The 27,851-nt window shown below is 35.8% G+C and overlaps 1 long non-coding RNA gene across 1 annotated transcript; it reads right to left on the bottom strand.

The window, feature by feature from the left end:
- LINC01958 (long intergenic non-protein coding RNA 1958) lies at positions 1-27,851 on the bottom strand. The gene is made up of 3 exons (XR_923506.2): positions 27,780-27,851; positions 1,236-1,272; positions 1-440 (listed from the first exon to the last, which is right to left on the bottom strand). It is a non-coding gene; the product is annotated as a long intergenic non-protein coding RNA 1958 (long non-coding RNA).

Genomic DNA, 27,851 nt, shown 5'->3' with positions numbered 1-27,851 from the left:
TGCAGAAGTTGTTATTCAATTTATTTTATTTACTGTTCCTTGATGCCACAATTCAAAGTTAGAACCACTTTCTTTTGCACTTTCCTTTGATTTTCAAGGTTCTGTTGAACCTGTTTGGTTATGGATGAATCCTCTTCTCTGTTAAGCTCAACCAAAGCCATAGTGTGATAGAATCAGTGCTGTTTGATTAGATGATCATCAGAGGATCCTTGATTGCCAAGAAGTGTCTGTCATTGATATTATTAAGCCACAGTGGGGCTGCCTTGATTAATACTTTGTTTGCAACTTCAGGCCAGTGATTTCGTCAGTTGTTTCACAAATCTCGACATGAAGGTTTTATTAAGGATATCCTAAGCAGAAGTTGACAGTTGAAACTTCTACTATGATTTCCTTCTTTGTGCTTAAAGTCCTTGTTTGCAGAATAAGGTAATATCTTGGGTCTGGAAAAAGTGAAAGAGAAGAAATCAGTGTTGTTGTTGTTGTTTTTTCTTGGTTTTTACAGAGATACTATTAGAAGCCAAAAGTAAGTCTCACCACTCTAGTGTTAGAAATGTTATATATGAATGATAGCATTAGGTTTGGCAATAATCCCCGAACATAGAATAATAATTTAGTGTTTTCATCTTAGTCCATTGTCTGCTATAACAAAATAACATAAACCATGTGGTTTATAAACAACAAAAATTTATTTCTTGCAATTCTGGAGCCTGGAAAGTCCAAAATCAAGACTCCAGAAAATTCCATGACTGGTGAGGACTCCACTTCCTAGTTAATAGATAACTGTCTTTTCTCTGTGCTCTCACATGGTGGAGGGGCCCAGTGAACTCTCTGGGGCCTCTTTTGTAATGAATGAGCTCTGCTGTCATGACCTAATTACCTACCAAAACCCCCACCTCCTAATACCATCACCCTGGGGGCTGGAATTTCAACATAAGAATTTGGAGAGGTGGGCATAAACATTCAGTCTGTTGTAGTTTCATTTAAACATTTGTCAATAAAATAATAAAGAACAGTTATAGCAGGTGAATCATGTCTGCATTTAAGCACACTACTTATTGTTCTTTTTATTGGACATGGGGAATTTCAAGTGGTAATGGAGATCAACTAAAAAGACCAAGGATACAATAATTGGCCTGTGAAAGTCATAATTAATACATCTTCTCTCTAAATGGAGAAAAAATAAGTATTCTTTCTTTTAGACCTTTCACTTACTTTTCTGATGAGAGACAACTTACCCATGAAGTACCATCTTTGCTTAGATTTTTTTAAGCCCTGAAAATGATTTAGAAGAATTTACATAAGATAACTACTATGTCATGGTTAGATTTCCCTTCTTAATCAAATACACTATATAAATCCAAAAGCATTTAATCTATGTAAAGAAATATGTTTACATCTTTTGTTGATATATATAAAAGAAGGATCTCAATTTCTACAAATTAATATCCTAGGAAAACTATTACCCTATTTCAAATGCCTGAGGATTACTTTCTCTAATTAGCTAACTATTAAGAGCACTAAATAGATTTATCTTTAGGTCTATTTTTAATATATTCTGTCACCTTTTTTCCAAACGAACAGGATTTCATGATTGAAATAGCTGGGGGATGATGTGACTGAACAAACTTTGATATCAGATGGCTACCAGATCAAGAAAAAGTTGGGCTCTTTCTTGAAGCAAAAGAAGACAAATACAAGATGAACAAAGAAGCAATAATGATGCAAAAGATAAATGAGGTGATAGTCTACATTTCCAATAACTTCAAGAAGGAATGGCAGATCTTGACTCCTGAAAGGTTGAAGGAAAACAGTGACCCCAGAAGTATCAAATAGTACTAACTTTCGAACCATGGTTTGGCTTCAACTAAACTGGTTAACACTGGCCTCTGCTACTATTAATCAAAATCAGATGACCTGAGCAAGTCATATCACCTAATTAAACCTTATTTACTTCATATAAGTAAGTGACAGAGTCAGAATAATTTGTCATTTTTATTTGCTAAATTTGATACCAAATACCATGAAATGTGAAGAAAAACAGAAAAAAAGTATAAAGCTTATCCAGAGGTCCAACAAATCTGTAAAGGTAGAAAAATTTTAGACAAGTAATATTGGTCTCTTTTTATATCATTTTTGAGAATTTGCTTGAGGTGGAATGAAAATAATAATGGAATCAGAACTTTTCCTTCAAAACACCTAAGCCCATTGTTTTCTCTCTATGTAGGCAGTCCAAACTAGACTACAGCTGTTTCCTTTTAATGGCACAAGTAACATCTATGTCTGTCTTTTGCAAGTTCAGTGATGATGAGCTGTGTATATCTGGTTCTCAGTTATATATTCCCGGAAATTAATATAATACCTAGCTCTTAATGAATATGCAATAAGTGTTTGTTGAATTAGTAGAATAGATAAATCACAACGACAAACAAATGCATCTTAAATCTTTTTTCCTAATTTGGTGAAAAATAGTGTCAACTGGACGGCTCTAGGAAATGACAATGTCAAATATTCTACTGGAGTACTTTGAAATAGATGTATCTTGATTTCCACGCAGTTCTTCTAATGCTGTTTTGCTTCTCTTTTCTTAAATGCCTCGGAGTTTGAAGATAATTTGGGGAATTTGAGAAAAATCTATCCATTAAAGGCCGAGCTCCTCAAAAATGTACCAATTACATTTTTGCTAACTAAACGTAAAGATGTTTTAATATTTCGAGGAGTTGTGTGACTTGAAATTTGGTAAAATAATACCCATCAAATATGGAAGATTTGGTATTTTCTTTCAAAAAGTAAGCTGAGTAGGTAAGTCTTTCACTGTTTTAAAAATATGAAAATATAAAATGCTTAAAATTTCATACTTCATTAAATTTTATGTGACACGAATTTAAAGTTCTCATAATAAAGCCCACCTCATTTAAGATCACTTCAGTTGAACAAGGTATCTCAGTTAAAGGAGAGAAGTAACTGTCACAACGAAAAGAACTTTTTTCCTGCCTTAAAATAGTATACCACAAAAATGTAAAATCTCAGCTGATAAACACGAAGTAGCCCTTACCAGTGGTGGAAATCAGCAATATTAGGGAGCACATTGCAATATTTAACTTAGCCTTCATACACATAGGTAAGCTTTTTCCTCTAATATACTGGTTTTTTAAAGCAGAAATTAAGCAATATAGTTTTAAATTGGCTTAAACCAAAACATAAAGTGAATGAAGTTTCAGTTTTTGTCCTAGTTATTATATAACTATTGTGCAACTCTAATGGTTTAAAAGAAGCTAATATGTCTAAATATGAAAGAAAATCCTTATCCAACTAATTATAATTTTGTTTTCATTTTTGTCAGGAGATTCTGTTTATATCCTGGCTTTCTGCCATGTCATGTTAATGCTATAAAAATTCTGAACTTGGAAAGTTATAGGAGGAAGACTTAGGATAATATGGTGGCCAAAATATTTATGCTAGAGAGAGGAGCAAGGCACCTGGTAGGCAGATCCATGCTGGTAACTTTTCTAAAGACTTTGATTTTTTAAAGGATGGTTATGTTTATTTGTTGATCACAAGGGTGAACACTCCTGTATATTCTCTCTCTGGGACTGAGACAGTCCAGGTAGTATTTGGGATACCTTGTTGTATGGTTTCTAACATAAAAAAAAAAAAATTAAACTTAAGTACCGAAAATAGACCTGGAACCACCAAATCAGAGTCCAAAGTAGAATGTTGTAAATGTTGACTGTAAGAGAATTTTTAAAGGCTAATGGGTTCCTAAATATCATATTGTTAAAGAACATCTTTTATAAGAAAGAAGTTCCAAATATATATAAAAGTAATTAGAGCTGATTAAAAATTAGAATACATATTATATTACTTTTGCATAAAAATACACATAGGAAAATACTGAAACTACATACATATCCAAATGTCAGCAGTATTTTCTTTTTAAAAGTTCATGGTGTTTCCACTGATTTTCTCTAATTTCTAGATATTCTGCACTGGATATAAAATTACTCTCTTGATTGGGAAAAAATGTTAAGAGCTATAGAAAATTCAAAAGATGAGAGAATATTTGGAAATTGAGTAGTTGAAGCATATCTAAGAAGAAAATGTGATTTGAGCTGAATTTTGATGAACAAGTGAAGGTTGTTCTGAGTGCAGGGAATAGCATAAATGACCCCTGGTAGGAAAAGAGTAGGCTTGTCTGAGGCATGGCACAGAGTCTGTGTTGCTGGGTAAAGAAGTGGTTGGGTGGAGTGAGAGAGAAGTGCAAGATGGGCCTCTAAAAAGCTAGTTTGGAGTCAGGTTGTGGTTAGCCTTCAAAGCCATGTGTAAAGCTGTACTTAGGAGCAGGGGTCAGAGAACACTGACAGCTCATGAGAAGGGGACTCATGTGATCATGGCAGTTTTGAGGAGATTCTCCTGATGGTCACCCGTTATTCAGAAAGATTTTGCACAGTACTTATGAGGTTCCTTTGACTTAATAAGAGTTAGGATAAGGAGCAAGAGATTTAAATGGCATTTCAGAGTTAAAATGACAGAATTTGCTACCTGGCTGGATGTAAAGACATGAAGGGGAAGAGGGCTGAGCTTTAGGAAGGCTGTTTGGGTTTAAGGGTTTGGTGACTGGGAGGGGAGTCAATGGGCAGAGATTAACATCAGCCCACTAGTTAAAATCTCACATTAGTGCTCTCACTTGAGGATGTGAATGCACCAAGTTTAGTGCACGAGTATGCAGAGAGAAAACATAAACCTAAGGATAGAGCTCTGGGGAATTTCCTCTTTTCAGGGGCAAGGGAAGGAAGATGAGCCCTTGAGAAAGGAGAGAGAATGCTCAAACAGAACCAAGATGTTTAGTTTCACAGGAGAAAAGAAAGGAGACTGTTTCAAAAGGCAAATGAAGGGCAGCAAGGCCAAGATGTTCTGCGGGGATTGGGAGAAAGTGTTGAGGTTTTCAGCTTCATTCCCTCTTCATTTGCCCCACTCCCAGCCTTTGAAGCCAGGGCTTCCTGGGGCAACTATAACATTTACCTCCAAAATTTTCCCTTACAAAAATGAACATGGTAGAGGAGAGAAAGCATGCAGCAAGAAAGCCTGGTGTGAGGTCTACTTCACTGAATAACATTAGGTTTTAAACCCAGAGGGACCTTCAGTCATTTAGTTCAACCTTCTCATTTAATAGACAAACAAGTGAAACTACCACCATTTATATGACTTGCTCATGGTCCCAAAATCTCAGGACCTTGGATCCTACCTTTGTGCTTGCTGAGTTGGCATCTCCAATAATAGCAACCTTTGCTGGTAACTTGAAAACTACCGGAAATGCCACTGAGTCTATGAAGTGGAATCCTGAGTCATTCTCATTTTAAGATTTTTATTTAAATCTAAGGTTTTATTTTTCCTTGAAGCAGGCTTATCCTTAGTAAAGCCCATTCCTTTGTCCATCATGATTAGTAGCAGAGTTTTATTCTGTTTTGATTTGTTTTGCTTGTTTTACAATTCACAGGTAAAATGAACATGGGAAATATTTTTTTCTTAAAAAACACAACAGCTGGCCAGTCGCAGTGGCTCACGTCTGTAATCCCAGCACTTTGAGAGGCCAAGGTGGGTGGATCACGAGGTCAGGAGTTCAAGACCAGCCTGGCCAAAATGGTGAAACCCTACCTCTACTAAAAATACAAAAATTAGCTGGGCATGGTGGCAGGTGTCTGTAATCCCAGCTAATTGGGAGGCTGCGGCAGGAGAATCACTTGAACTTGGGCGGCAGAGGTTGCAGTGCACTGCACTGCAGCCTGGGCAATGAGTGAGGCTCCCTCAAAAAAAAAAAAAAAAAAAAAAGAACCACAAAGACTTGGAACCAACCCAAATGTCCATCAATGATAGACTGGATTAAGAAAATGTGGCACATATACACCATGGAATACTATGCAGCCATAAAAAAGGATGAGTTCATGTTCTTTGTAGGGACATGGATGAAGCTGGAAACCATCATTCTCAGCAAACTACCACAAGAACAAAAAACCAAACACTGCATATTCTCACTCACAGGTGGGACTTGAACAATGAGAACACTTGGACACAGGAAGAGGAACATCACACATTGGGGCCTGTTGTGGGGTGGGGGAAGCGGGGAGGGAAAGCATTAGGAGATATACGTAATGTAAATGACGAGTTAATGGGTGCAGCACACCAACATGGCACAAGTATACATATGTAACAAACCTGCACATTGTGCACATGTACCCTAGAACTTAAGGTATTAAAAAAAAAAAAGCCAAGTAGACAACAAGAGCACAGCAAAGGAGAAAATGAGTTACAGTGTTGAGTACATAACAGAACCATTATCTGAAGTAAAAATATCAAAACTGCAAGAAGTGAAAGATAAAAGAAAATAGGTGAAAAGAGTGTCCTTCAGGCTCCAGGTCTCCTAGTGCTCCATGCAGAGAAAGATACAAGGAGCTGGGACTGGTTGAGAAGATCACATGGTCATAGTCTCCCCAGCAGTCAGCAGGTGGGGCCCAGTGCCTGGGCAGTGGAGATGCTCTCTCAAGGGAAGGGTTGGATGGAAGTTAGAAGCAGCCTCCATGTGAGTCAGAGGAAAAAAGTAGTGTGTAAATGGTCATTCTTACGCAATAGACCAAGACATAATTAACTTGAAAAATAACTCTATTGTGAAAAGCAAGGAGAGTTATGGGTTATGGACTGAACTATTGTATCCTTCTCAAGATTCACATATTGAAGCCCTAACTCTCAGTGTGACTATAGTTGGAGATGGGGTCTCTAAGGAAGTAATTAAGATTAAATGAGGTCATAAGGGTAGGGCCCTGATTCAATAGGATTAGCGTCCTTGTAAGAAGAGACACCAGAGAACTCACTTGCTCTCTCTCCTTGCACAAAGAATACCACGTGAGCACACAGTGAGAAGGCAGCCATCTTGGACCCAAGGGAAAAGCACCCACCAGATACCAGCCCTGATGGCATCTTGATCTTGGACTTCCAGTCTCCCAAACTGGATGCAAATAAATTTCTGTTGTTTGAGCCAACCAGTGTAGTATTTTGTTATGGCAGCTCAAGCAAATACATTATTTATTAATAAATGCCTTGTTAGTAATGTGGCATCATAGCTAAGAATACAAGCATTAAAGTCAGACAGCCTAAGTAAAAATTCCTTCACCACCACACTCAAGCCTGGTGACCTTGGGCAAATATTCAACATTGAAATTCCTCAGTCCCCTTATCTACAATGGGAAATGATAAAATAACCTATCTCATTAGCTAATGTGAGGATGAAATAAAATCATGTATGTAAAGTGTCTGGTACATACTAAGTACTCAATGAATATTAATTTAAAATAATAAAAGAATAAGATTATTTCACCAACCATAATTATAAATAAAATTAACCACCCTGGGCTCTAAAATGGTTACAATGTAACTCAACAATTTTAGGTTTTATCTCATTTAGATAAGAAAAAATCTGAATTTTTAAAATAATTTCTAGTAATAGTATAAAAGGCTCAGAAATTGAAGTTCTAAAGACACTGAATGTAACACTTGCATCATGTTGGAGAGTCATGGAGTAGGTTTCAGAATCCCTTTTGCCTGCCCTTACTTCGGTGAATTCTAATCCTATCACACCTTGAGTCAGGCTTCATAATGTAGTCATACCACACAACTCTTAGATCTGCTCCTGTTCTCACTATTATTCAATGCCATTTCAATATTTCCTCATCTCTTTTATGTAATTACTTAAGTAACTAAGACTTCGTAACTTGTGGTCATTTAAAACTATAACTCATTTTTAGTAAATGTCTTCTTCTAATCTTCAGCTTTAAAAAATAATTTAAATCTGGTTGCTTTTGCACAACTGTCCTTCTGGTTTCCTGGAACTTTCATAAATGAAATGCACGTTAAAAAGCATTCACTGATATTAACACCCTTTCTTTCCACATGTCTAATTCAAAGTAGACTTTCCTATGAAGCTAATGAAGATTCAGACCCCTCAGTTACATTGTGCCCTTTCCAAGGATCTGGCAGAGGCCCTGGGAATTTAGTATTCATAGTTCTGTATTATATTTCTTAAGAGGGTCCTCCAAATTATATACCATCCTCACCTTGCTGTTGCTATATCCTCTGAACTTTCAAAATATTTCATATTTAAAGTAGTACTTGAAATTTAATAGGAATTCCAGTTGAAAGAAAACTAGGCTATGGAAAGTAGTCTGTAAAAAAATACCTCTGCAGGCCGTGCGTGGTGGCTCACACCTGTAATCCCAGCACTTTGGGAGGCCGAGGAGGGCAGATCACCTGAGGTCAGGAGTTCGAGACCAGCCTAACCAATATGATGAAACCCTGTGTCTACTAAAAATACAAAAATTAGCTAGGCATGCTGGCATGCGTCTGTAATCCCAGCTACTCAGGAGACTGAGATAGGAAAATCGTTTGAACCCAGGAGGCAGAGGTTGCAGTGAGCCGAGATCATGACATTGCACTCCAGTCTGGGCAACAAGAGTGAAACTCCACCTCAAAAACAAAACAAAACAAAAAACAAAAAAACTTCTGCATATACCTCTTAGCCTCCAAACTGAACAAAATGGGTATTTCGTTATGTACTCATAGGTTCCAACTTTTATTTTAGCACCAGAGGTCTTTTGTCACATGCAATCTTATCAAGTAGAACTTCTCTATCCAAAGAAAGTCAAGGGGAGCTCTACTCACTCACTACCCCTTCAACCCTAACTGCTTAAGCACGTATAGAGAGCCTGATTGGTCCTGTCCTCACAGCACAGTTTGTAATGTCCTCACAGACAGTAATACACAGTGGGTGTATAACCAGAGACAGAGAAGGAAAGCCTCACATGATTTTGTAGTGTAGGTAAGACTATAAGATATTCATCACCATAAGATAACCAGCCATTTTCCTGATGGGTGGAATATATTCTGCCTAGAATCATGGGGAAACTGTGCAAGACAATTTTTGAGGCTCTTTCTCACCAGTTGATTCTCAGGTCTCTCAGGAGAAGATAGGAATGACTACTCTCAGAAACAGTTACATTCTAAATATCAGCGATTACTGTTGTCTGATACTAATATTGGAAATATATGGAAAAACAGCTCAAGATTGGGCAGATGAATTCTTTTACTTTATATGGGACTCCAAAAACCTATGCCGTTTAAAAGGACTTGAATACAAAGATATGCAAAATGCTCAAAGAAAACACCTTAAGTTTACATATCACCACGTCTTTCTTCTAACTACGCTTTGAATTTCGCACCCTTGAATTCCAAATGTTTGCAAACATTTGCTGACCCAACTGAACTACGTTTCAATCTACTTGGCTCCAGCTTTTGTAAACATTCAATGAACTTGATTTTCTTTAGGAAATATGCTACATTATTCACATTGTCCCCTTTTTTCTATATGGAATACAAAACATCAATTCTTTAATCATGTTATTTGTTAAGACATTTAATTTTTCTTTGGTAAGCTTAATCTTCAATCATTCCTTTATTCATTCGGTATAAATTTACTTGGTGTCTATCTTCCAGATTCTGTGTAAAAAAAAAACAAAACAAAAAACTAGGGGTACGGAAAGAAATAAGATTAGAACTTGTCTTAAAAAGAACAAGGTCATAGAAGCCAGTGACCACGCTTGTTGACTCATCTCTGGAATCTCCAAATGTAACTTGGCATTTAATAAATGTATTTTATTGCCATGGTATTATCAACTAGGCAAGAGGCATGAACATTCCATTTTGGTGGAAATTTATTTACATGAGTGCCCACAAATAGGTTCTGTATTTAATTCTCTATTTCTTTTATATATATGTTTTTAAACTAATACCTAAGGTAAATTATTTCCCCCTACAGATTAAATTCCTATCACTAATACATATGCTTGTAATCATAAGCTTATTTGGAAATGAGACACACTGTTCTACACAGTTGCCGCCCCCCGCCCCCAATATCTGTGGGTTCTGCATTGGTGGATTCAACCAACCACAAATAGAAGATATTCTAAATAAAATTGTGTCTATACTGAATGTGTACAGACTTTTTTCTTGTCATTATTCTCTGAACAATAGAGTACAACAACTATTTACATAGCATTTACATTATATTAGGTATTATAAGTAATCTAGAGATGAGTTTATGTATACAGGAGAATGTAAGTTAAGTTATATGCAAATACTACACCATTTTATATCAGGCAGCACTTGAGTGAGTATCTTCAGATTTTGGTATCTGAGGGAGGTCCTGGAACCAATCCTCCACAGATACCGATAGAGGACTGTACTCTATAAATTCTTACCTAGAGAATCAAAATCCTATAGTTAATTAGGAAAAGCTGTATGCTTTATCAATTAGTCCTTATTGCTTCCAGCCAAGCCAAGAAATCAGCAATTTAGTAAAATCATTTATAAAAAAGAACTAGGAATAATTTATTTGGGGGATCTTACACTACTACGAATCACTCAGACAACAGTGGGGCCACAGATCCTGAACTTCTGTTCTCATTGGTTTCCTTCTCCCTCACCAACATTCCCATCAACAATTATACCTCTAAAAGAGGCTGGTAATCACAGCCTCTAATCCATTAGCACCTCACTCTTAACCTTTCCTTTATTTAAAACATTCTTGAGTTCAAGGACATTTTTAGCAAGCAGGGCCCATAAGTCATCTCTTACTAGCTTCTCTGCTACGCTGGATGGAAAGGAAACAGAAGTAGAGGAGCATTATCCATCTATTTTGAAAACGCCTGGTCTGGGGAGAATGCCCGCTGTCTATTTATTTTACATGATGGCCCCCACTCCTATTTTCATCAACCTACACTTCATATACTTCATGATATACCCGAGTGCAGCTTGTCATGGTTACCAGTGACTGTTATTATTAAATATACAAAATCATTTTACTAGATGATAAAGGAAGCTACACTGTCTAAAAATTTCATATATCTAACGTGTTGTATAAACAGCCTAAATCCCTATACATTTTATAACTTCAGCAGTCTAAAGGTTAAAGCCTGTCAGTTGAATTTCACAAATTCCAGGAAGAAATGGGGAAGTAGCACCAACTCTTCATTGTATACCAGTGATCAAACATCTCCTCATTACACTTCAATATTGTTGCCTCTAAAGGTCACCATTGCTGAACATAATCACACAAAATCAAAGCTGCAAACTTTATATATCATGGAGGCAGTAAATAGCTTGGAGGTTTATTTTCTGGTGCCTGAACAACAATCTGAACCCATGTATAAATTCCTGGGAACTGTCGCATGAACCAAACACATTTGCAGTGCCTAACAATAGCTTCAATTAAATAAGTTTCCTGTAAAAATATTTTTTTCTGTCATTTCAGGTGAAAAATACAACTCCCTACCCACAAAGTAGTATAAGTCTTTTTAATTTGTCTGTTTTAAATGAAATTACCTTCTCTTATCTTCCTGTAAAAACATGTTTGATAATGATTTGTAAATAACCTTCCAAATGGAATATCCAAAAGTTTACCTCAAAGGGAAGTCATGAAGTTCATTTAGTAAAGCACTAATATGTCCAGTAATCACATATGCTCCTTGCTTTTTTCATTCATTGATTTCACTGCACGTTATTTGGACAACCTGTCACTTTGTAAGATCTATGGACTCAAAGTAGAAGCCTAGCCTCATTAAAGCCACCATCGGTTCTAACTATGTCCATGCTTGGTCCTTGCATTTATTCTCTGTTCAACAGTCAATATTTTCTTTTGACCATACAGCTTATATCATTTCATTTCCACAGACAAGCCTAAAACTCTCCAGTGGCTTCTGATTATACTTAAATTCAAACTGCTCACCATGGTCTACAGAGCCTTGCAGAAACTGATCCCTGCATCACTCTGGTCTCAATTCCTACCATTCTTTTTATTTGCTTAATTCCAGCGACACCAAATTCATTTGTGTTGAATGTGCAAGGTCTTTGATGGCTAGAGATTTGCACTCTTATTCATTCCCTTGTGCAGGTGCATCCTGTTCCCAAATCTTGAAATGACTATGTCTCTTTTTTTTTTCTTCCCATCTTCTCTAGAATGCTCTCTTTTCAGGAAAACTGCTTCTCCCCACCAAAACCAATTACTTCTCATTCCTGCAATCTCTTTTTATCCCATCCCCCTACAATATTTCAGTCATGGAACTTATAATCTGAAGTTGTCTTACTCAGACAATTTGTTTACTGGTTTGTTCTCTGTTTTTGCCTTCACTAGCAAAAAGGTCTGCTAGAAGCAGGTATTTAGTCTATCTTTTTCAGCAGCATGTGGTAGAGATGCAATAAAGATATACAAATGCTCCTTAACTTACAGTGGAGTTCATCCTGATAAATCCATAAGTTGAAAATACTGTTACATTGAAAAAGCATTTAATACATCTAACCTACCGAATGTCATAGCTCCATCTTACCTGTCTTAAATGTGCTTAGAACAATTGTATTAGCCTACAGATGGAGAAAATCATCTGGCAACACAGCGCACTGTAGAATATATCTGTTGTTTATCCTTGTGATCATGTGGCAGACTGGAAGTAGCGGCCCACTGCTGCTGCTCAGCATGAGAGAGAGTATCACAGCATACTGTGCTACTCTCTTGGGCATATTGCTAGCCCAAGAAGAGATCAAAATTGCAAATTTGAAATATAGCTTTTAGTAAATGCATATTACTTTCATACTATTATAAAGTCAAAAAAATCTAAGCCAAACCGCTGTAAGTCTGTGACGGTCTGTAGATCATCAAATGAATAAAATTTTAGGATGTTTTCACTGACAGAAATTTATGCCTTTAAAGATAGTTTACCATTTAAATTCAGAAAAAAAATAACATGACAGTTCTATATAAATAGATACAGCATTAGTGCAAAGTACACATTATATTTTGCACTATTATATATATTAATCAATAATTATTATTAATATGGCATGATTAATTCAGTATATCATTTTCTAGAAGGTCTGTGATGTTCACCATGTTATAATGAAAAACAATTTTTAATCAGATTCTTGATTTCTAATGCAGTTTTCACTGAAAATGATAATAATCATGTTTGTCTTCCAGTATATAGCAAACACTATGAAGTATTTTTAAAAATCTTTTCCCTGTATTTAAATCAGAATATCCAATACTGAAGGAGCTGCACTGGTGATAAAATAATGTCTTTTGTTCTGACTTCTTGCCTTGTTAATGAAGAATTTAAGATGGTCAGCTGCTTATTTTCATATTGGAACATTAAGTTGCCTACTTAAGAATTCAAAGGCCGAGCAAGGTGACTCATGCCTGTAATCACAGCACTTTTGGAACCTGAAGCAGAAGGATCACTTGAGCTCAGGAGTTCAAGAACAGCCTGGGCAACATAGCAAGACCTCATCTCTTCTAAAAATCAAAAAAATTAGCCAGGTGTGGTGGCCTGTGCCTGTAGTTTCAGTCACTCAGGTGGCAAAGGCACCAGGATTGCCTGAGCCTAGGAAGTGAAGGCCACCTGATCATGCCTCTGTACTACAGCCTGGGCAACAGGGCAAGACTCTGTTCTAAAAAAAAAAAAAAAAAAAAAAAATCGGAGGAGAGTCAATCCTAAAAAGAAATAAAGAAAACAATCCCATTTACTATAGCATGAAAAAAGATAAAGAACTTAGGAATGAATTTAACCAAAGGAGTATATAAATTACACACTGAAAACTATAAAACACTGCTAAAATAAATTTTAAAAGATACAAGTAAATCTCATGCTCATGGATTGCAAGATTTAATATTATTAAAATGTCTATACTACCCACAGCTACCTAAAATTTCAATGTAATCCCTATAAAAATCCCAATGACAATTTTTGTAAAAATAGAAAAAAAATTCCTAATATTCATATGGATTGTTAAGGGACCCCAAATAACTAAAACAATCTGGAAAAGAAGGAAAATGTGGAGGCCTCACCCTTCCTGATTTCAAAACATACAACAAAGCAACAGTAATCCAGATGATGTAATACTGGCATAAAGTCAAATATCTGGATCAATGGAACAGAATAGAGAGGCCAGAAACAAACCCTTATATATATGGCCAAATGATATTCAACAAGGATGCCAACACTACACAATGGGGAAAGGACAGTGTCTTTGACGAGTAGTATTGGAAAAACTGGATATCCATTTGCAAAATAATTATTTCGGACCCTTAACATTATACACAAAAATTAACTCAAAATGAGTGAAATATAAGCCGAAAAGCTACAAAACTCCTAAAGCAAAACATAGAGAGTCTCAAGACATTGGATGTGACATAATTTTTTGGATATGACACATATGACAAAATCACAGGCAGTAAAAGAAAAAAAAAACAGATAAATGGGACTATATCAAACTAAAAGCTATCAAAGGAAACAATCAGTGAAGAAAAAGAGCAACCTATGGAATGCGAAAAAATATTTGCAAGTCATGTATTTGTTATAGGGTTAATACCCAGAATATATAAGGAACTTCTACAACTCAACCACAAAAAAAACAAATCACCCAATTTAAAAATGGGCTAAGGACGTGAATAGACAATTCTCCAAAGAAGACATGCAAATGGCCAATAAGCCTATAAAAAGATGCTCAGCATCACTAATAATAAGAGAAATGCAAACTAAAATCACAATGAGGTATCACTTCACACCCATTAGAATTGACACTATCAAAGGAACAGAAAATAACAAGTGCCGGTGAAGATGTGGAGAAATTACAACCCTTGTGCACTATTGGTGGGAGTGTAAAATAGTACAGCTATATAGAAATTACAGATTGGAGGTTCCTCAAAAAATTTAAAATAGGATTACCATGTATCCAGCAATCTCAGTTCTGGGTATATATTTTGAATCCAAAAGAATTCAAAGCAGGATCTCAAAGAGATATTTGCACACCCCTCTTCATTGCAGCTTTATTCACGATAGCTAAAAGTGGAAGCAAACCAAATCTCCATCAACAGATACATGGATAAAGAAAATGTGGTATATACACAATGGAGTGTTATGCAGCATTTTAAAAAGGAAATTCTGTCATACGCAACAATATGAATGAACCCTAAGGACATATGCTAAGTGAAATAAACCAGTCACAGAAGGACAAACGCCATGTGATTCCACTTATACCACTTATCTAAAGTAGTCCAAATCATAGAGACCGAAAGTAGAAAGGTGGTTGCCAAGGACTGGGGGAGAAGAAAGGAGAAATTAGTTTAATGGCTATAGAGTTTCAGTTTCACAAGATAAAAAAGTTCTAGAGATCTGTCGCACAACAATGTAAACATACATAACACTACCACCTTGTATACTTTTTTTTTTTTTTTTTTTTTTTTTGAGACGGAGTCTCGCTCTGTCGCCCAGGCTAGAGTGCAGTGGTGCGATCTCAGCTCACCGCAAGCTCCGCCTCCCGGGTTCACGCCATTCTCCTGCCTCAGCTGGGACTACAGGCGCCCACCACCGCGCCCGGCTAATTTTTTTGGTATTGTTAGTAGAGACGGGGTTTCACCGTGTTAGCCAGGATGGTCCCGATCTCCTGACCTCGTGATCCACCCACCTCGGCCTCCCAAAGTGCTGGGATTACAGGCGTAAGCCACCGCGCCCGGCCCACCTTGTACACTTTAAAATTGTTAAAATGATAAAATTTATGTTATATGGTTTTTACCACAATAAAAATAATAATGATTCAAGGAAAAGCTTTCTAGCTTTATTTCCTGCAGCTTACCGCAGAAATAAGCATACTTCATGAAGTAATTGCTTCTGGTCAGTTTTCTGCACTCTTCTTTTTGAATGAAAAGTTTGAAAAAATTAGTGACCAGGAGTCACTAAAAAGAATTTTCATCAAGGAACACTGTCAAATAAAAATTACAAGGGAACAGAAATAAAAATAAAAGATAAGATTGTTTTCCACATTAAGATGCTACTTCCCACAGTCATATCCACTGGCTTATCTGTAACTTTAATATACGTAAGTTATGCTGTGTACACAGCATGTTAATGAAAGAAATGAGTGATTAGCAAGTTGAAGTAAAAACAGCTTATGACCAAAATTATTCAGATATTTCTTTCCATTTTTATTTCAAAGAACATGTTCTCATTTATTCCACTCATTTATGGTTTATTTCCAACTACCTTCAAAAGAGACTTCAGAAAAGTCTAATCGAGGGATATCAACTAATAAACTTCTGAATAAAATATGTAAAACCATTGTCCTCTCTATTCTTTTGATTATAACATTAGATTCAGTTATCACTTAAGGGAGGTCTAAAAAACTTATCTGAGTACAGACTGGTTTTCATTTTACAGTTCTGTGTGTGTGTGTGTGTGTTATGTGTATGCATGTGTGTATCGGTTATTGTTGTTTAATACTTTATTGGATATAGGTCTACACCTGTGTATGGATTACTCCAGTTCAAAGAACTTTGTTTCCCTTGATTTTTCATCCTTTATTCACTTCACATAGTCAACAGTGATTCAGGTCCAATCTCCCTATGAGACAGGAATTTCTTCAGAGCAGTGGGACTGGCACATTTCTCACATACAGCTTCTTGTGTCTCTGTTACATCCAGGACACATGCAGTTTGCAGCTTCATGGGCAGACAAGTCTCTCAATGTAGGTGTATAAGCGAATTCTAAATAGAGGCAGATGGCGGGTTTCTTATAACTTTTGACTTCTTCATGCACTGATTCTGTTCAACCTAATGACTTAATCTGAACATTACATTTCCCACTGCTGCTGAACATTATTTCATGGAGTTATGTAGTTTTATGTTTCTTCTCTTATTTATGTTTGTTTGGGGAATTTGTGAAATGCTTTTTGATCTGCAATGAGATTAGGGTTTTTTATATTGCAAAATAATGGGACTACATGCTGCATGAACTACCTTATCTTTTGTTCATTTTGCCCATTTTATTATACTCATTGTAGCCAATAAATATGTCAACATGCTCTCATGTGAAACCTGTCAGATCTGTGAGGCATGACTTCCCATCATTGGATAGAAATCTAAAACCAAATTTATCCCTGACAAGAAATGAATGATAGGCTAAAGTATTTAAAATAAACTAGAAAATGGTAGCAACAATTTTCTTAAATGGACATATTTAAACAAAGAACACATTCTTTTCTACTTTGGAATTATTAAGAAGTTTCAATCTAAAAAGAAATATTCAAAGTAAGTACTACAAGCTGCAGGTGAAATGGCTGCTGTCATAATCTCCTAGAGTTTAAGGCCTATTACCTCAATCTTATGATCTTTTTAAATCACTACAAAGCAATGACAAAACAACGTCAGTGATCTCTCTAAAGCTGCACTATCCAATACAGAAACCACCAGCTATTTAAATTGAAATTGAATTAAAATTAAAATTAAATTAGAATCACATTAGCTATATTTCAAGTGCTCAGCATGTGGCTAGTGGCTACCATATTGGATATTTCCTTCATCTCAGAAAGCTCAATTGGATAGAACTGCTCAAAATCATTATGTATACACATTTGCCATCATTTTTAGTGTTGGAAAATGTGCTCCACAGTGAAATTGCTAAATGCCACTTGTCTCAACCTGCACCTGCACAATTTTACAAAGAATTTTAAGAAATCTCTAATTTGAGGTAAATAACTAGTGAGAGGCTGCCTGGTGAAACATAAGAGCCACTTTCGTGGTTTAAGGATCCCAAAATATCCTTTAGAAAAGATCTAACAATCCCTTTTAGACAATTGTTAGGTACTCTAGTCTTTGTTTTTGTGAATTTCAATGAATTTTAGGAGTAGGCAGTAGACTTGTTTCCCTATTAAATGTTTAGGACTTTAAGTATTAATAAAACCTAGTAGTAAGGAATTAAAACATCATTCTCTGTTCAATTACTACCATATCTTAATAATTTGAGTGTTAGCTCCTTTTCTCAACCAGAAAACCACCCCTTAAGCAATAATTCACCACCTTAATTAAAGACAGAAATGCTTTCTTTTATAGAAAGAGTAAGTGGAATTTTATCAGTCCAAAATAAAATGGTGGAGGTATTGGTGATTAGGAAAGGGAATATTTTAATGCAAGGACAATGAGAGATAAAAAGAGAAATAAGATTTTCTAACTGTGTGGGTAAAGCTGGTGGACATCACTCAAAGGAAATTATTTCTCCCAAGGCAAATTTACAGCCCCAGTCCCCACCCCAGGGCTACTCTTCCTTCTACTCTAGGACTCACACGGCAACACACATATAAACTGTAGGTAGTTGGATTATTATCTCCCAGTCACTGTTCAGCCAGACACTTAAGTACAAATAGAAACCATGAATAGTGGCTTATACTGTCTGCCTCAGGGTACATGTCCTGTCAAAGATTAGAGGAAGGCTCTACTCAAGACCATCCCACACAGTAATACAGGTTGGGCCGTGCACACACTTTTAAAGCAACTCTAGCTCTCCAGTTCTGCTTGCCTGGGAACATACCCAACAATGGTTCCTAAGTGGAAACTGACATTTAAGGAATCTAAGTTTAAAGATGAGATAATTTTGAGCTTGACTTGGATAGTTCGTTATATTTGTGTTTTTTCAAAGACCTATTTGTATGAATATTTTCACTGCTGGTAAAAACCTTTACCATTGGTTAGCAATTTAACTTTATAGGAAGTCTGTGAGGTGCGGTAGAATCACACATATTTGCATCAAAATCTCAATCAATTCCTGCTACTTACGGATTCAATAATCTTGAGTAAATATCTTAACCCATCTGAAACTCAACATCTTCCTCTAGAAAGGTGAGCTCTTTGGCTTCAAAAGAGTTCTATGAGTAGTGTGAAACTATACATGTTGAAAATGCAGTATGTATAATTTGTACTAAAAACAAGTTAATTTTCTCAGTTATTTGCACAATGCTCTAAAATTGCTTATATTCCTTCTTCCTTCAAGCACTATTATTTTTGATTACCTACCATAAATATAGCACTTGCTAAGTTATTTACTCATAATAATATTAGATTATCTTATTGTACACATTTTCAGATGAGGAACCTGAGGCAGATTGGGGGATAAGTAATGTACCTACACAGAGGTTGTTCAAAACAGAGCTGTATGTGTTGAAATCAAGAATTTGAACTCGAGTTTCTGATTCCAAAGCTATGGCTTATGCAGCTTCTCAGTACAAGGAAATTTGATATTTAGTTTAGCAGATGTGTAGGCAAAATCCTAAGAAAGGGATCACTTGTCCCAAGTAAGGTAGAAACTGTCTTGCAAATTACCATTCACTTCTGACTTGTCAAATGGAACCTCTCTTTGAAGCCATGGAGTATGTCTAATTGTCTAATTCATACCTATTTCTCCATCAGCTAGCTCAGTGCCTAGTTGGCTCTTATTAAATGTCTCTTTTTTTCCTTTTCTTTGGAGACAGAGTCTCACTCTGTCACCCAGACTGGAGTACAGTGGTGCAGTCATAGCTCACTGTAGCCTCAATCTTCTGGGCTCAAGTGATCTTCCCACTTTGGCCTCCCAAAGTGCTGGGATTACAGGTATGCGCTACCGTGCCCAGCCCAGATTTTCTTAAATTGACATAAAACATTTTCCACTACTTCTTTAGGGATAATTACTGAAACACATGGATATCTATAGTGTCTCATTTTTCTAAAATATGAACATTTCTTCGGGGATTGTTTTAAAAATTAAATGTTAAATAATGAAGAATATGCATAAACACACATAAACCCACATGCACGTGTGTATATTTCCATCATATGGTCATATGTTTTAATTCTATAACAAGTATTAAAAGAAATAGAATAATTTCTATTTTGCTTAGCAGCAAACTAATTTTTAAAAATTGCTTTTGAAATTTCAGTTTCTGATTTGTTTCCATATAAGGATTTCCCCCTCTTATTTCCTGAAAGAGTATTGAGTTTGTAGTAAATCAACAACAAAATTAAAATTTGGCCACCACCTGCCAGAATTCTCACTCTGCAACATGAAGACTCAAAGGAGATGAAAAATTCAAGGTTAATAAGATTATCACCATCTCTTTTTTTTTTGTATACATGTATCTAAATCTGTGCCTCCCAGCCTTTCTTCACTGAGCAGAAGATTATAATCATTACTAAAGTCTCAGGTTTTTGCTTCTCTGCACAAAAATGAAATCAGTGGTGTGTAGCTGAATGCATTCCAGATAGCAATAGCATATCATTAGCATATCAGTGACAGCATCAAAAAAAATACATGAAAACAAAAACATTGCATACAAATGGAGATGTGTAAGAGTTTTCTACAAAAGAGAAACTATTTTCCTTGTTGCTTTTTGAATGGGTCTTTAAATTATAGTTAGGACAGGGCCAAAGCTCTCAAAACCGGGACATCTTAGGAAATAAAATAGGAGACTAGCAACTGAGAAATCTAGATACCATACTGTTAAGTCACCCTGTGTTCCAGAGCATATATTCTTCCGGTGCTCCAAACTTTATCACCTATCTGACCAAGGCTAAAATTTGTATTTATAAAGCATTAAGTAAGGGACTCCCAGTGAAACCTGCAGAGTTTGCCTTATAAAAATGCACATGGGTACAGCCCAACCTATAAGGTTTTTTTTCCTAACTATTTTACTTTCTATTTCCCAATAAATTAAGATACAAGAAAATTATTATTCTTGTATATACCAGATATATTAGTATAGACTAATACTGAAACTAACAGCATATATATGTATATTCCACTATTCTACGAAATGTACATATATATATATTCTATTATGTGTCTATTCATACATGCATATTCTACTAGAATATATATATTCTAGTAGAATATGTACATGTATACATGGAGAGAAAGACACAGAGATGGACTCAAACACAATAAAATTTGTTTCTCACTCTCTAATAGTTTGAGACAGACGTCTTCTTTATCAGCAGGGAGTTGTCTTTTACATGGTGATTCAGTTGATAATCTTTCCATCTTGTGGCTCCCTGCTCTCCTAGATATCTTATCATCATCTCCATTCACTAGGCAGAAGGGGAGAGAGTGAGGAGGAGCCCATATAGGAAGTTTTGTGGGCCTTGCCTGGAGCTATCACTCACAGTTCATTGGTTAGAATGAAGTCACACGCCCATACCTAACTGCAAGACAGGCTTAGAAATGTAGTCTAGCTCTGGGTCCAGGAAAAAGAGGAAACATGTATTGGTGAACAGCCAGCAATATCTACCATATCGAAATTTTCTGTATCTTGCCTGGCATAAATTATTGTAATTCTCTTCTAGCATTTTCTTAAGCATAGGAAGTCACACTTTCTAAATCAAAGACACTCCACTGAGAAATAAAATGTGACTCATGCTATTTACTACTCCCTTAGAACCATACCAAGCCATTCTGTCCTGCTGTGGTTTGATCTCTATACTACTTTCCTTATTTGAATTCTGAATGCTGTATTATCAGTTTGGGCTTTTGTTTGTGTGTGTTTTCTTACTAGATCAAAAGATTAAAAAGATAATTATGATTTCATTCATAAGCTATAGGAATTTAAACATCTTACTTTATACAGGATTTCTTTCAGAAATAATATCAAAAAAGAAATTGGAATCTGTTTTTGAAAAATGCAAGACTTATCTGTCTGTACTTCTGACAAATAAACAAGGACTAAGAAAATATTGATCGTGTCATATGAAAGCCATAAAAGAAAACGTCTCTCTCCAAGTGGCTTACATAGTTTATGACAAACCTTTAACCCGAAACTAAATACATCTCTAAAAATTAGCAGCATTTTCTAGGTGTGAGCGTGACCCATTTTAATCAGCACACAGAAGAAATTTTTATGAAGTCAGAATGTTTTTATGCTAGTACATTTCCCTTTAGCTAATTAGACTTTATTTCTGAACCTATGACGCGTGCTCTAAAAATTCTAAACTATTCATAAAATATATTTGAAGAACAGATTGAGGTTTCATTATTTATAACTCAGTCAAGATACCAAACTGGCTAGATTGTAAACCTGCTGATACAGTAGCTTTTCTTCACCACTCTTTGAGTTGTTGCTACTCAAGTTTCTAATTTATGTGCAAATTGAATTTGCCTAATGCATATAGTAAGCTCTTTTTTCTTTCTACTTTTTTAGCAGTTTCCCATGCACTGTGATTTAAAGTGCTTTTTTTTTGCGTCTTATGAAAAGATGAGTATACCAAATAGATTTATTTATTTTCATTGTTTTTCATGTTACTCCTCATACACCTCACCCAGAGACTAAAGCGATTTTCTATCATGAATTAAATATTCATCACGAAGCAGTCTCCTATGCCCTGCCCAGATTTAACTCAACTCGAGTCAAATGCAGAACTGCTGCTATAGCATGTGTTGACAGCATGGAAATAAAGACTTCAGGATTCTGTTTTCAATATTAGTTCTAGCCTTCTCAGTCTGATGACTTGCTACTTTCGTCCATGCACATTCTTTGAAAGGAATACAAAATTCCCTTAGGGTGGATTCACCTAATTTATTGCACCTTTGCTTTAGTAGGCACTATCTAAGAAACTGGAAATCAAAGACAAATAAAATGGTCATTGTCCTAGGGGAGTACACAGTCCAGCAGATAAGATGGTCATGTAAACAAATCACCCTTATACCAATAATTATTAGCCTTTCAGGGTTCTAGGAATACTTTCAAATGCCAAAGACATTGGCTGGATATTTACGAAGAGTAAAAGCCTCAAAACATATCAGAAATAATTTCCAACATGTCACTCCTAGTGAATAACAATTTTTGCAGGACTCTAGGCAAATTTTAATTCTCTCTCTATTTGCTTGGTAACTATAGCATTCTGTTGCTGTTTCAATAGACTGCCCCGACCATATTCTTTTACATATTCACTAGAAAATGTTAGCAGACATTCTAGTAAACATGGAAGTCTTTTACGAGCCTGGGCCACCTACCTACAAGAAAAAAAAATGTGTCTTGAATGGTGATGAACACAACAAACACATTTTTATTATGTTTGGGTCATTGTAAATCTGAGATCTGCTTGTTATCACTGTCTAACCTACTCTAACTAATCCAACATACATAACCTCTTATTCCTACGTTTTTGCTATTTTATTTACCCTTGCTCAAGCAAGCACTAAGGGATCATAAGAAAGAAGCTAAATAACATTCACAAAACAAGTCTTCTCTATCTGAGCATTAACATCCTTCTTCCTCAAAAAGCCAGCTACATACTTCTCCTTTACACCTTCTGGACAATAACCTCTTCATCAATAATCTTAATCACTTGAAGTCCCTGACCCTCTATAAATTGTTAGCCACTGTCCATTGATCAGTGTAGATTCATACTTCTCATCTGATATGTTACTCCAGAATAAAGGAGACAACTAGAAGTACTGCTTCTAATTCCGGACTTGAGATATTCACTAGGCCTAATTTCCCTTCCCCACTACCCTGTGTCGGGGTGTAATGTAGTCACAGTCTGCTTCTGAACAATGCTATCTTTAAACAAGGCTAAATTTTTTTATTCCTTCTTGTGAACTTTTTGTAGAAAACCACCTATGAGCAATTAATAATCCAAACAGTAAATTAAGAAAATAATTCAATTTACAATAGCATGTCCCTCAGCCAAAAACAACAAAAACACTTAGGAATTAATATAACTGAGGAGGCAAAAGATTTGTATAGTAAAAAATACAAAATGTTGCTTAAATATATTAGAGAAGACACTAATAAATTGTAAAAAAAAATCCTGTGATTAATAAGTTGGAAGAGTTGATATTGTTAAGATGTTAATACTCCCAAAGGCAATCTACACATTGAATGTAATCCCTATAGATCATCCAATGAATTTTTGCAGAAATAAAAAATGCATTCTAAAATTCATATCAAATTCCAAGGGACCACATATAGCCAAATCAATCTTGTAAAAGAACAAAGTTGAAAGTTGTGTCTTTATTTCAAAGTTACAGTAATCAAAATAGTGTGATACTGGCATAAAGGTAGACATAGAGGAATATTGTTGTTCATAGACTATTATTCATAATAGTCAAAAAGTGGAAGCAACCCAAGTTCCCATTGGTGGATAAATGAATAAACAAACTGTGGTATATACATACAATGGAATATTATTCAACCTTAAAACAGAATGAAATTCAGATACATGCTACAATGTGGGTTAAATTTGAAGACATTATGCTAAGTGAATAAGCCTGAGTCATAAAAGGACAAATACTGTATAATTCCACATATATGAGGTGAATAGAACAGTCAAATTCAGAGACAGAAGGTAAAATGATGGTTGCCAAAAGCTCGGAGGAGAAGGCAATGGCGAACTATTGTTAAATGGGTGTAGAGTTTCAATTTGGGAAGATGAAAAAAGTTTTTGAGATGGAAGATAGGGATCGTTTTACAAAATGTGAATATATTTAACATTACTGAACTGTGCACTTAAAAATGTTTAAGATAGTCAATTTTATGTGTTTTTTTACCACAACTAAAAATTAAAAAGAGGGCCAGGTGCAGTGGCTTTTGCCTGTAATCCCAGCACTTTGGGAAGCCGAGGTGGGAGGACTGCTTGAGCCCAGGAGTTCAAGACCAGCCTAGGCAACATAGTGAGACCTCTTCTCTACAAAAAATTTAAAAATTAGCTGGGCATGGTAGCACACACCTATGGTCCCAGCTATTTGGGGGCTGATGCAGGAGGCTCTCTTGAGTCCTGGAGTTCAAGGCTGCAGTGAGGCATGATTGCACCACTGCACTTTAGCCTGGGCAACAGGGTGAGATCTTATCTCTACATAAATAAATAAAAGAGTTAGAATGGTAAATTTATTTCATGTATATTTTACCACAATTTAATAAATAAATATTATGGATAAGTCTATGCCCACAAGTTTGATAAGTTAGATGAAATGGACAGATTTCATTTTTTTTTTAATTGTAGAGACAGGGTCTCACTATGTTGCCCAAGCTGGTCTTAAACTTCTAGCCTCAAGCATTCCATCTGCCTTGGTCTCCCAAATCACTGAAATTACAGGCATGAGCCACCATGCCTGGCTGACAAATTTCTTGAAAAACACAATCTACCAAAACTCACACAAAGATACACATAGGCCTATTCAAGTTATCAGTTTATTTAAAAACTTGAATCAGTAATTAACAGAAAGCACCAGCCCAGGTGGTTTCACTGTTAAGTTCTACCAAACATTTAAAGAAATAATACCAATACTCTGTAATCTCTTCCAGAAAACAGAAGCAGAAGAAACACTTCCTGACTCATTTTATGAGGTCAGCCTTACACTAATGTCAAAAATTGGCAAAGACAATACAAGAAAGGAAAATTACAGACTAAAGTTTCTCATGAACATATACAAATATATATTTGTATATATATATTTCACACACTATATACATATTATATAATTATATTTTATATACATATGTATAAAACAGACAGAAACCAGCAATGTTTAAAATGAATTATACAACACATCCAGTTGTGACTTATTCCAGGTATGCAATGCTAGTTCAACATTTCAAAAATTAATTAAATGTAATCCATCACACCAACAGGCTAACAAAAAATCATACGATCATATCAATAGACGAAGAAAAAAAACATTCGAGAGAGTCATGACCTATTCATGTGAAAATATCCCAACAAACAGGAGATAGAAGGGAACTTCCTCAACTTGATTAAAAAAATCTATAAAACACCCATAGCTGACATCATATTTAATTGTGAAAAACTACAAGTTTGGCCCTAAGATCAGAATGAAGACAAGGATTTCCCTTCTCACCACCCCTACTCAACATCATACTAGAAGTCCTTGCTAATGCAATAAGACAAGACAATAAAATAAAAGGTACAAAGTTTGGGATGTGAAGTTGGCAAAATTGTCTACATAGAAAACCCCAAAAACTGGACCAAAAAACTCTTGAAACAAATAAGCAATTGTTGTAAGGTTTCAGGGCATGATGTTAATAATACACGAGTCACTTACTTTCCTATATATCATTAATGAGCAATGGGAATTAAAATTAAAGCACAACATTTACATTAGCAACACCAAAAATGAAATACTTGGGTATAAATCTCATAAAATATGTGCCAGGTCATACAGAAAAAAACTACAAACTCTAATTAAAGAATTCAAATATCTATGGCTGAACACTGTGGCTCACATCTGTAATCCCTGCATTTTAGGAGGCTGAGGCAGGAGGATCACTTAAGGCTAGGAGTTCAAAACTAGCCTGGGCAACATAGCAAGATCTCAATCTCTACACAAAATTTCAACATTATCCAGGCATGGAGATGCACGCCTGTAATCCTAGCTGCTGGGGAGGCTGAGGTGGGATGATCACTTAAGCCCAGGAGTTTGAGGTTGCAGTAAGCTATGATTGCACCAATGCACTCCAGCCTGGGCAAAAGAGCAAGACCTTGTCTCTAAAAAAATTTTTGGAAAAAACAAAGAACCAAAGATCTGATCAATTGAGAGATAGTCCATGTTCATAGATAGAAAGATTCAGATTTATTAAATGTCAGTTATTCACAATTTGAACTATAGATTCAAAGCCATCCCAACCAAAATCCCAGACAGTTATTTTGTGTACATTGACAAATTGATTCTAGAGTTCCTATCAAAAGATGAAAGAGCTAGAATTGCTAATATAATAATGAAGAAGAAAAAGTCAGAGAGTTGACACTAACCAACTTCAAGACTTACTACAGAGCTACAGTGAATAAGACAGTGTGGTACTGGTAGAAGAACAGACAAATAGATCAATTGACCAATTGGTCAACAGAGCAATGGAACAGAATAAAGAACCCAGAAATAGGGCCGGGTCTAGTGGCTCAAGCCTGTAATCCCAGCATTTTGAGAGGCAAAGGCAGGCAGATCACTTGAGGTCAGAAGTTCGAGACCAGCCTGGCCAACATGGTGAAACCCCATCTCTACTAAAAATACAAAACATTAGCTGGGTGTGGTGGCAGGCACCTGCAGTCCCAGCTCCTTGGGAGGCCAAGGCAGGAAAATCACTTGAACCCAGGAGGCAGAGGTTGCAATGAGCCAAGATCAAGCCACTGCACTCCAGCCTAGGCGACAGAGCGAGACTCCATCTCAAAAAAAAAAAAAAAAAAAAAAAAAAACCCCAGAAATATACCACACAAATATTGTCAACTCATCTTTGGCAAAGGAACACAGTGGAGAAAGGATGGTCTTTTCAGCAAACAGGAATGGAACAACTGGACATCTACATACAAAAAATTAATCTGGATACATACCCTATACCTCTCACAAAAATAACTTAAAAGGGGTCTTAGACCTAAATGCAAATGCAAAACCGAAGCAAAATGCAAAACTATAAAACTCCTAGAAGATAAAACGAGAAAAAAAAATTCTAGGTGACCTTGGGTTTGGCAATGATTTTTCAGATGTAATACCAAAAGTGCAATTCATGAAAGAAAAAAAATGGATAACTTGAACATTAAAATTAAAACCTTCTGCTCCACCAAAGACATTGTTTAGATAATGAAAAGACAAGCCACAGACTGGGAGAAAAAAATCTTTGCAAAACACATATCTGATAAAGGACTCATAATCAAAATAGCTAAAGAATACTTAAAACTCAACAACAAGCAAACAAACAACCCAATTAAAAAATGGGCAAAAGATCTGAACAGATACTTCACCAAAGATATACAGATGGCAGATAAGCATATGAAAATATGTTCAACATTATATATCATTAGAAATTTGCAAATTTAAAAAACAATAAGATACCACTACGCGTTTCTAAACGACTGTAATGAAGGAAGAAGTTTTTATACTTACAGATCTGTAGAAACAGCAGACATATGGCATGCCATGGCATGCAGGGCTGCATGAGCAACACTAGGGTCAGCC

This window comes from Homo sapiens, chromosome 2 (assembly GCF_000001405.40).
Source record: "Homo sapiens chromosome 2, GRCh38.p14 Primary Assembly".
In the NCBI taxonomy this organism is placed as follows: domain Eukaryota; kingdom Metazoa; phylum Chordata; class Mammalia; order Primates; family Hominidae; genus Homo; species Homo sapiens.
The sequence above is the reverse complement of the archived record's forward strand: the minus strand, read 5'-3'. Positions and strand labels throughout refer to the sequence as shown.